At 38.1% G+C, this 11,895-nt stretch overlaps 1 long non-coding RNA gene across 1 annotated transcript; it reads right to left on the bottom strand.

Moving 5' to 3' along the window:
• Positions 1–492: 492 nt before the first annotated feature.
• LOC105379070 (uncharacterized) lies at positions 493–11,580 on the bottom strand. Its single transcript, XR_948547.4, has 3 exons — positions 11,525–11,580; positions 8,806–8,836; positions 493–547 (listed from the first exon to the last, which is right to left on the bottom strand). It is a non-coding gene; the product is annotated as an uncharacterized LOC105379070 (long non-coding RNA).
• Positions 11,581–11,895: the final 315 nt, after the last annotated feature.

The raw sequence follows: 11,895 nt of genomic DNA, 5'->3' as shown, positions 1-11,895 counted from the left end.
AAAAGAGAAGATGTAAAGTCAACAAAAGAAACCCTGTGGTATAGTGTTTGGCTTTGAAAATGCTAAATAAAAGGAAAGTAGTCTAATGGCAACAATAACAGATATGTGATGCTTATTCAGAATCTTCAAATGCAAAATTTTCTATTTCTTTTTTCTCATTGATGCACATCTCACAAAAATGCATAAATGACTCTCATTTTGTCTTCTAGACTGTGGCCTATCATGTTAACTCCTGAGAGCCTTTAGAGTAACATAAAGAAAACTCTGTCAATAACATCCATCCATCCAAATGCTGTCAATTTGAAACCTTATTACTAGAAGTTATAGGCTCTGGAATTATCCTTGTCAAATCTAAGGAGGAAGCCAACCTTTCCAGCCGTCTCTTTTGCATCTCTGAACTTCTTTATCATTGCATTTCTAGGGCTAGGAGTAATGGTGTGACAATTGCGTGGTGCTCCCTCCTCTCTTCAATTCTGTTTCTAAGGGTCGGGATGACCTACAGAGTGATAAGCTAGTCGTTCAGTTGAGCCAGGTGTCCTTTGAGAAGCTAAGAAAAGGGATAACAAAGTCACAAAGTCATTAGTGTACAGTATATTACAAGCCACAAGTGACAGCTCTCAGTGAGACTATCCTGCTTGGGAGTCTGCCACTTCCTGATGGAATCACCCCATAGCAGGCAGGAACCGACATTTCATCAAACATCTATGTTTGGTAGTTGAGCAAGAGTTCACAGGCTTAGAAATTAGAGTAGATATAATAGAGTTGATTAACAATGGAAAAAGGAGGATACATATTTTGTGCTTTTTTGATCCAGGAAATAAGATCCTTTATTCTGTACCATCATGGCCAGGGTATCTTAAAAAATTAAAATGTAAACCGGTGAAAATTTTTACAGGTGATGGCAGGTATAACTGGAGGCCTCATAGGCCACTGAATCCTGCTCACCACATCTTCCAGTCTGTAAAAAGACAGTAAAGACGAAAACAAAAACAAAGCAAATCCAAAATAAACAGCAGATTACTCATCCAATATTGGAATTGGTTGATTTTGTCAGCTCTCAAGATCTCCAGTAACTAAATTCTGTCTTCTGATCACTGCCAAGTTGTTGAATATTGATTAGATGAGTTCTAGTTATCCTTCTCACTTTGAGCTTCAGATTCTATGTCTAGTGAACCCCCATCCCAATTTCTGGTTCACTTCTCTTTCTCTGGACTCTACCTAGGAGCAAATTGTTCCTTTGTGCTATTTCGCTATTTCTTCCACCTCCAGCTCAGGCCAGACCTTTCTGCCAGAGAGATCTCTTTCCCCTTTGTTCTCCCTGGAGTCTGTGGCTTAGGCTTAATGAAGCTAACAGACTGGGGTGGGGAATAGGGGTTGGGGAAAGAGAGGGTAGGCTCCAGGTGTTGCTCCTGCTGGTCCTAAACCATCAGTGAGCACTAGGGCATTCTAATATTGGAGTATTCTTATCTAAATTCTCATAGTTCTTCTTTGTGTCTTGAAGACAATTTTGTGATGTTTAAAAAACTGTTGTAAAACAGATATACTCAAGAGGAGAACACATTTCAAGCACTTTCTAAAAGTGTTTTTGTCCTCTAGTTACTTGAATTACCTATTAATCAAAACACTTTAGGCTGTAGAAACAAACACTCCCCAAATTTTAGTGGCTCGAACAAAAAAAAGGTTTATTTTTCACTCAGGCAAAATGTGTATATTGGGTTGGCAAGGGGGTTCTGCTCTTCAGCATCACTCAGGGACCCTGATGACCAAAGCTCCATATGACACATGCCTCTAGAATTGCCTTAGGTCAAGAGACATGGTGAGCTGTGCATAGCATGCAAAGCGACCACTGGAAATGACACGTCACTTGATTACGTTCAATTGGCTAATGCAAGTCCATGTTTGTATCTGCTTTGTAAACCAGAATATTTGTGAATAACCCTAATGAGTCATAGAGGCAGCCTTTGCCATTTTGTGCTACCAGATCCTATGGTTATTCTGTTATTTTCCCCTGTTTTTATAAAACTTTCCTATATTTTCGATTTATTTTTCACAAATGCTCTTTCTACCTCTCTTCTATAAGTGAGCCTGGCTTTCTTATTAATGATGTTACCTCCCATGAAATTCTTGCCAGGACAGCTTTCTCTTTTTCCCTTCTTTTATCGCTAACAGAGGACAAAGAAAGAGGATTAATCTTCTTCCTTCTCCATTGCCCATTCCTGAATATTGTTCTGGCTGTTGAAATTCAGCAATCTCTTCTCTTTCCGACTGTCTCATGCATCCTCCTTCTCTCCTAGCTGCCATGGTATTTGGAACTCTGTGGTACTTTTTTTCCTTACCCAGTGAATTTAACCTATCACTTTTTTTATTTTTATCATGTCGGTGATTCCACAGTTCGTTACCTCCTTGACACCAATGATCCTCAACTCCTCTCCATCCTTGGATCTCATCATCTATCTCCACAGTCTCCAATTCTGAGTATCTTGCCTTTTCCACAATCTCTTTAATGTCAGCCATTCTAAATTTCTTACTCATACTGATCTTGGTCTTTTTTCTCATCACAACCCTGACTCTGCTCTTTTTTGTCTTGTCTGTTAACTTCCTTCCAACTTCATTTCCGTCTAGCTTGTTTTCATGGTCAGCCGACTCAGCAGTGCCTTCACTTAATGCCTAAAATTTCCCGTGGACCTTGAACTTCTAAATATTTCCTTGCTAGGCTGAGAAAGCTGCACTGATTGAGTCTGCCACAAATTTATGCTTGTTCACTTTAACTGAGCTGTCCTTTCTGCTCAGCACTTCTTTTATTCATCTTTTGCTGACTCACTGCTCATCCCACACAGCCCTTTTTCCAATTATTTTTAACTCTTTTTAGGATTCAAGCTCTGCTCCAGATATGGCCCCAAAATACCTTTCCAGTTTTATCTCTCACTGCTCTCCAAAAGCTCTTTGCTTTGTGCTTTCCAAACTTCATGTTTGCTCACTGTTGTACACATTCCGATGAAAATGCCCCCTACTTTGCACAGGCATTTCTCCTCTGAAAGAGACCTCTATTTGTTGTAAACATCCGTGCAATTTTTATTACCTTCTATGAGACTTAGCAAATACCTTCTTATTCTAGGTACCTGTACATATGTACATCTCCACCGTTTTATTTGTGCCCTTTAAAAGTAGAAACCACGAGGGTTTGTATACATAGTGTTTATCAGTGGTGTTTTGCCCTTAGGTGATCAGTTGGTGTTTGGTGAATGCGTTGGAGAAATAAACATTAGTCAGTTGTCTAGAGAATTTTTTTTACTTCTCCATACAGAAGAAAAGTTAATATTAAATGTAAGGACTTTAAAAATCTATATTTACTATTTAAATTTTAATGCAACAGCTGTGGTTTGGACTACTAATAGATTTAACATATTTGGGGAATAGTTAAAAGAGTTGTGTGAAAGAGCCCTATTTCTTTTTTTTATTTTTTTATTTTTTATTTTATTATTATTATACTTTAAGTTTTAGGGTACATGTTTATAACATGCAGGTTTGTTACATATGTATACATGTGCCATGCTGGTGTGCTGCACCCATTAACTCGTCATTTAGCATAGGTATATCTCCTAATGCTATCCCTCCCCTCTCCCGCCTCCCCACAACAGTCCCTGGTGTGTGATGTTCCCCTTCCTGTGTCCATGTGTTCTCATTGTTCAATTCCCACCTATGAGTGAGAACATGCGGTGTTTGGTTTTTTGTCCTTGCGATAGTTTGCTGAGAATGATGGTTTCCAGCTTCATCCATGTCCCTGCAAAGGACATGAACTCATCCTTTTTTATGGCTGCATAGTATTCCATGGTGTATATGTGCCACATTTTCTTAATCCAGTCTATCATTGTTGGACATTTGGGTTGGTTCCAAGTCTTTGCTATTGTGAATAATGCCACAATAAGCATACGTGTGTATGTGTCTTTAGAGCAGCATGATTTACAATCCTTTGGGTATATACCCAGTAATGAGATGGCTGGGTCAAATGGTATTTCTAGTTCTAGATCCCTGAGGAATTGCCACACTGACTTCCACAATGGTTGAACTAATTTACAGTCCCACCAACAGTGTAGAAGTGTTCCTATTTCTCCACATCCTCTCCAGCACCTGTTGTTTCCTGACTTTTGAATGATCGCCATTCTAACTGGTGTGAGATGGTATCTCATTGTGGTTTTGATTTGCATTTCTCTGATGGCCAGTGATGATGAGCATTTTTTCATGTGTTTTTTGGCTGCATAAATGTCTTCTTTTGACAAGTGTCTGTTCATATCCTTCACCCAATTTTGATGGGGTTATTTGTTTTTTTCTTGTAAATTTGTTTGAGTTCATTGTAGATTCTGGATATTAGCCCTTTGTCAGATGAGTAGATTGCAAAAATTTTCTCCCATTCTGGAAGTTGCCTGTTCAGTCTGATGGTAGTTTCTTTTGCTGTGCAGAAGCTCTTCAGGTTAATTAGATCCCATTTGTCAATTTTGTCTTTTGTTGCCATTGCTTTTGGTGTTTTAGACATGAAGTCCGTGCCCATGCCTATGTCCTGAATGGTATTGCCTAGGTTTTCTTCTAGGGTTTTTATGGTTTTAGGTCTAACATGTAAGTCTTTAATCCATCTTGAATTAATTTTTGTATAAGGTGTAAGGAAGGGATCCAGTTTCAGTTTTCTACATATGGCTAGCCAATTTTCCCAGCACCATTTATTAAATAGGGAATCCTTTCCCCGTTGCTTGTTTTTCTCAGGTTTGTCAAAGATCAGATAGTTGTAGATATGCGGCATTATTTCTGAGGGCTCTGTTCTGTTCCATTGATCTATATCTCTGTTTTGGTACCAGTACTATGCTGTTTTGGTTACTGTAGCCTTGTAGTATAGTTTGAAGTCAGGTAGCATGATGCCTCCAGCTTTGTTCTTTTGGCTTAGGGTTGACTTGGCAATGTGGGCTGTTTTTTGGTTCCATATGAACTTTAAAGTAGTTTTTTCCAATTCTGTGAAGAAAGTCATTGGTAGCTTGATGGGGATGGCATTGAATCTATAAATTACCTTGGGCAGTATGGCCATTTTCACGATATTGATTCTTCCTACCCATGAGCATGGAATGTTCTTCCATTTGTTTGTATCCTCTTTTATTTCATTGAGCAGTGTTTTGTAGTTCTCCTTGAAGAGGTCCTTCACATCCCTTGTAAGTTGGATTCCTAGGTATTTCATTCGAAAGAGCCCTATTTCTTATAACATTCTTAAATTCTCAAGTTCCTGTCTATGCTGGTTAATTAAGACCTATACTTCATTTTTTTTTGAGATGGAGCCTCGCTCTGTCACCCAGGCTGGAGTGCAGTGGTGTGATCTCGTCTCACTGCACTGGGTTCATGCCATTCTCCTGCCTCAGCCTCCCAAATAGCTAGGACTATATGCACCCGCCACCACGCCCAGCTAATTTTTTGTATTTTTAGTACAGACAGGGTTTCACTGTGTTAGCCTGGATGGTCACAATCTCCTGACCTCATGATCTGTCCGCCTCTGCCTCCCAAAGTGCTGGGATTACAGGTGTGAGCCACCGTGCCCGGCCTACTTCATTTTTCTTTATATGTATCCATGTATTTAATATCTGAATCAATAAAGACAATCACATGTTATGTTAGAGCAAACAATTAAATCTTGATATCCTGAAATATATTTTGTTAAAAGTAGACCTTTCTGGAATTTGTGTATAATCCCTTTTCTCATCCAGAGTGTAGAATCATTGGAGAAATGAGACAAAAGATAGTCAGATGAAAAGCCCAAGTGTTCACCAAGGCTAATAGTGGAGAATGTGGGCAATAGTGAAATCCCTATCATCAAACTGCAAAATTAGTCACAGGCAGCACTGGATCAGAGCAGGGCACCTCACATGGGGCCTGCTGCGGTACAACTTCCAGCATAGAGGAGCAAAGCAAGATGATAGCTTCCTGTGGGAACCAAGAGACACCCATGCCTCTGACCTCTGTGTCTGTTGTAGGTAGGTTTCTCTACCTGATGAGGAGAGAGATGCTGTGGGGCAAAAATGTACGAGTGGTTAGGGAAAAATACCTTCTTAGGGAAACCAAAGGAATGGGGTGAGATCATTTCTATCTAATACTCCTGAACATGATGATACGATGCATGCATACATGGGATGATTGAGGGTCATCAATGATGAGCAATCTAGTCACTTCTGTCTGTGGTGATTCTAATATTAATGAAATGGTATATTTATTTGTAATTTTATTAAACACTATTAATATATCAAATTAGTTTAAAAACCTAGCTTCTTGGCTAAAACAACTTGATGTACATTGTTACTTTACTAGGTTTAACCACATAACACATGGAAATGATAATCCCTAATCTAAATAATTAAATTAATAATTATTTTGGGAACTACAATGTCATCATACAAACTATACACCTTACTGAAGAGAGATTAATGTTAATAGAAGAAACGTAGACAGGCAATTTTGGCCCTAGTCAGCACCTTCCCTAAAACTTTTAAGGGTGCATATATATCATTTTTAGCTTCAAAAAAACTTCTTCTTATTTACTACATTTTTGATTATCTTAGTTTGTTTGTGCTGCTTTAACCCAGTACCATGGACTAGCTGGCTTATAAATAACAGAAATTTATTTCTCTCAGTTCTGGAGGCTGAGAAGTTCAAGATCAAAGTGCGGGTACATTCGGTGTATGGTGAGGTGCCATTTTCTGGTCCATAGAGGCTTCTAGCTGTGTATTCACATGGTAGAAGGAGAAAGGCAGCTCTCTGGGGCTTCTTTTACAAGGCCACTAATTTTATTCATGAAGGCCATGCCTTTATGTCCTAATCAACTTTCAAAAATCCACCTCCTAATGCCATCTATATGGGGGTTAGGATTTCAACAAATGAATTTTGGGGAGATGCAAATATTCAGACCATAATGTGGGTTTATATATAAGTAAAACTATTTATTTTAGTTCCATTCATTGATCAGTTCAATTTATCAAACAACCAGTAGATTAAAGGAAATAACTGGTTTGATGGTTCAGTTAACTGACAAGTAATTTCCTGGATTTACTTTTGCTTAGGTTTAATTTTAATTTTCTTTTCTTTAATAAACATATAACAAAATTTAATTACTACCTCAACCATTTTTAAGTGTACAGTTCAGTAGTGTTGAGTATATTTACATTATTATGCAATAGGTCTACAGAACTTTTTTATCTTGCAAAACTAATTCTATGTCCATTACACAAAAATTTCCCATTTCTCTCCCCTCCCTCCCAGAACCCTGGCAACCACCACTCTATTTTTTATTTCTATGAATTTGACAATTTGGATATCTGATGTAAGTAGAATCATATAGTCATCTTCGACTCCTTCTTTCCTTCACAGCTTCATCTTATTAATCACCAATTCCAGTCAATTCCATCTCCTATAGTCTGAATTTACCTTTCAGCCCCTCAGTTCAGGCCCTTATTATTTCTCTCCTGGGTAGTGCAACAACCCTCCACCTTTATTCTTGTCCTCTTGCAGTTCCTTCTTCATATCACTGTGACTTCTCTAAAATTGGATTTGATTTATTTACTCCATCACATACAATTCTCTACATATTTCCAGTTGCTTCTTGTCTAAGCTCCTTAGCATGGCATATATAGTCTTTCACAGTCTGGCTCTGCCCTCCTCTCTGGCTCCCTTTTCTCCCTCTGACCCTCAATCTGTTCATAGCTCCCCAGCCACACTGAATCTTTCCTTTCTGTGTGTTCTGCACACTTGGCTTTCCTTATGGAATGACCCCTGCAGTTTTTTCTCTCCTGGATAATATCTAACTATCTTGCAAGTCTCAATTGAAAATTCTCTTTTCGATGCCCGTAGAACTCCATGTCTAGCCATTCTCTAGCAGTTTTCACATTGTTTTCCAACTGTTTGTGTGTCTATCTCTTGATGGTAAATTCCTTAAAGGCAAATTATTTTATTTTTGGTCATTTATTTTTTTCTCTAGTGCCTAGAATAGTATCTGGCATATAGTGGTTACGCAGTGATTATGAGCAAATAATGACATTTTAATCTTTGTGAAATTCTTTCTTTAGAAACACTTTACAACTCAACTAGTTCAAGAATATAATGCTTTTTTTAAAGCAGTTTACACTTTTATGTTACCATTCTATCTGTTATTATTATATAAAAGGATCCACATGTATTTAAGGGTGCCTACAGGCACTAACAAATATATCTGTATATCTCTTGGAAGTCTCATCTATAACCTAGTTGTCTAACTTATTTAGGGCATTGTTTTCAAATTTATTCTTTCAATTAACAAAATTCTACCCTTTGTGGTTATTACTCCATGGGGTGCAAGCACACAATTTGAAACTTCAATTAAAATACATAAACCAAAACAGCAGCAGTTAAAACAACATATTTGAAAAATTCTCAGCTAAAAATGATGCCCAATCGAAAATGGCAATTTAGAAAGATATATACACACAGAAGCTATGAGGAAGAAAATGTTGATAATTTAGAAATAATCTTTATTTGTGTCATAGAAAACAGATGTGGATTTATACTTTGCCATTTTAAATCATCATCTCTTACTTTGAGGACACTATCTTATTCCTAGTTGTGTAAGTAATCAATATTTATACCATTGTTTAAAAAATCACTGAGAGATTGGGTCACTACCTTCTAAGTATTTTTGGTGGCAGAATCATTCCAATTACAACAGGAGGATGCCAATAGAAGCCTCAAGATTGAGAGTAAAATGGGAGAGAACTGTATTTTTCAGTCACAGCATAGAATTCCACTTACCCTGAAATCCTGTCTGGCTTTGTCTTCAATGCTTTGAAATAATCAGAGATGTTTTGATTATTTCACTGTAAATTATATTGTTTTAGGCTTTTGGTTAAAAAGTTGAGGTTGAATAGTCAACACAAATATCTAAACAATGAGATGAGGACATGTAAAGTCTGGTCTACACAGTTACAGGGCTTAGTGACAGAACATTTTTGTCTAAACATTTTATTCTTTTAAGAAGTTATGTTATTCTGAATCATGCTGCAATGAGCATACATGTGCATGTGTCTTTATATCAAATGATTTATATTCCTTTATATATACTTGGAATATATGATTATATACTGAGTATGGGTACATACTCGGTAATGGGATTGCTGGGTTGAATGGTATTTATGTCTTCAGGTCTTTGAGGAATCACTACACTGTCTTCCACAATGGCTGACACATGCACGTGTATGTTTATTGCAGTGCTATTCACAATAGCAAAGACTTGGAACCAACCCAAATGCCCATCAATGATAGACTGGATAAAGAAAATGTGATACACATACACCATGGAATAGTATGCAGCCATAAAAAAGAATGAGATCGTGTCCTTTGCAAAGTCATGGATGGAGCTGGAGGCCATTATCCTTAGCAAACTAATGCAGGAGCAGAAAACCAAATACCACCTGTCTTCACTTGTAAGTGAGAGCTAAATCATGAGAACATAGGGACATATAAAGAGGAACAACACACACTGGGGCCTTTCAGAGACTGGAGGTTGGGAGGAGGGAGAGAATAAGGAAAAATAACTAATGCGTACTAGGCATAATACCTGGCTGATGAAATAATCTGTTCAACATACCCTCATGACACAAGTTCACCTATGTAACAAACCTTCACTTGTACCCTTGAACTTAAAAGTTGAAAAAATGTTTTTCAAATACTTCGAGGGAAAAGAGGTTTTGTGAGCTTCTGGGTAGAATTTCAGGACGTTTTCCAGCTCTCCAATAAAATATCTATTTATTGAGATTCTGCTATGTACAAGACACCATGGTAGATAAAAGGCAGAATGAGTTACAGTACCTGCCTTCAAGGAATTGACACTCTATTGGAGTAAAGAAAGTATGTACATGGACAGAACACAGGCTGGTTAAACAGTGGATAGAATATATTTGTTTACCTTGTACCCTCTTGAAATACCAATAAAATGAGAGAAAATATGTGAACTAATAGGCATAAGCAGAATGGGAGGATATATAATAATAGATTAAGCCCTTTTTAGAAGATAGAAGTGGATGTAGAAGTTCCCAGAGGCGGAAAACCTGATTCTAAATATGTACAGAGGGTAATGGCAATGAGAAACATGAAATTTTGCCACAAAATCCCAGAAAGTCTCAGAGATTAAAGACACTTGGTATCATCGAAGACAGAAATAATGTAAGGAGTTGAAAACAGGGAGAACTGGTTGGACATTTCTATAACAAGCACCTAGAGCTCCTTGGTTTTTCCCTTTGCCAATGGTAACAGGGAAGAGTGGTTTTATTTTGTGAAAAAATTGAACTGGAGAGGCTGAAATGAATGGTGGGAAGAAAGACACTATATATTAAAAACAGGAGGACTAGAGGAAAGCCTTCAAACTGAATGTTAAGCCCTCCTTGAGCTGCTTGGCTAAAAGAATACTTGAAATCAGGCCTCTATCCTCAGGCAGAGTGGAGAATTTTCTCCATAGCTACTGAACTAGTATAGAGTGTTGGTCTGTGTCTGTCTAAAGAGACCGATATTTGGGAGTCACCCCCCTAAAGGGCTATGTCTCTAGCCAGCAGTGAAACCCACCAATTGATAAGTTCCACCTTCATATACATATTCCAAACAGCTTTTTAGTGTTTCACTCTTAAATGTGAATGGGCAGCAACTTACTAGATACCTGATGAAAGCCTCCAGCAAGAAAAGCAGAGGAGAGAAAAGGGTGGGGGATGGGGGAGGGGAGAGAAAGAGAGAGAGAGAGAGAACCAAAAGAACTTAGAGGAAAATATAGATAAGGCAGAAAACAGAAGAAATGCACTCTTCTACCTCAAAGCCATTGATAAAATCCTTAGAGAGCTGAGCGAATATACCTTATATGTGAATTAAGAACCATTAAAAAGATACTCAAAAAACAACAAAAAAGAGCTCTTGGAAATTAAACATCAGATAGCCAAATTAAAAATTAAAAGCAATAGAAAATTCAGAACTTAAGACCAATTTTCAGAAAGTGGAGGAAAAAGACAAAGAAATGGGCAAAAATCAAGAAAAGATAAGAATATTAAGAGACCAATCTAAGGCCAGGCACAGTGGCTCACTCCTGTAATCTCAGCACTTTGGGAGGCAAAGGTGGGCAGATTGCTTGAGCCCAAGAGTTAGAGACCAGCCTGGGCAACATGTGGAGACCCCATCTCTACAAAAATAAAGAAATTAGCTGGGTGTGGGGGTCTACACTTGTGGTCCCAGCTACAAAGGAGGCTGAGGCAGGACGATAGCTTGAGCCCCGGAGGTCGAGGCTGCAGTAAGCCATGATCACACCGCTGCACTCCAGCTTGGGTGGCAGAGTGAGTCCCTGTTGAGAGAGAGAGAGAGAGAGTGAGAGAGAGAGAGAGAGAGAAATCCAGAAAGGCCAACATCTTACTCCTAAAATGTTCAGAAAGAGAATGAAAAAAGAAAAAACTGAACAAAGACATTATAAGAAAATTTCCAGAATTAAAGGACATACATTCCAGCATTGAAAGAACCCACTGAGTGCCCAGAATGAGGGCTCGTGAAGGATCCACAGCAAAACACCTCGCAAGGAAATTTCAGGACAACACAAATATAAAGAAGATTCTTTAAAATGCAGGTGAGGAAAAGTAGCTTGCTTACAAAGGATCAAGAATTATAACGTCATCAAACTTCTCAATGTCAACAATGGAAGCTCAGAATTCCATATACATTTAAAGAATACATTAAGTACAGAGGAGAATGAATGCATTTTGTAGGCAGAATCTCAGAAAATTTGCCTCCAATGTTTGCAGAAGCCATTTGAGACTTTCTTTAACAAAATGAAAGCATAACTCAGATAATGACATGGGAAGGATGCAAGGATTC

The sequence above is a fragment of the Homo sapiens genome, chromosome 5 (assembly GCF_000001405.40).
Source record: "Homo sapiens chromosome 5, GRCh38.p14 Primary Assembly".
In the NCBI taxonomy this organism is placed as follows: domain Eukaryota; kingdom Metazoa; phylum Chordata; class Mammalia; order Primates; family Hominidae; genus Homo; species Homo sapiens.
This window is presented reverse-complemented; position numbering and strand designations above follow the sequence as displayed.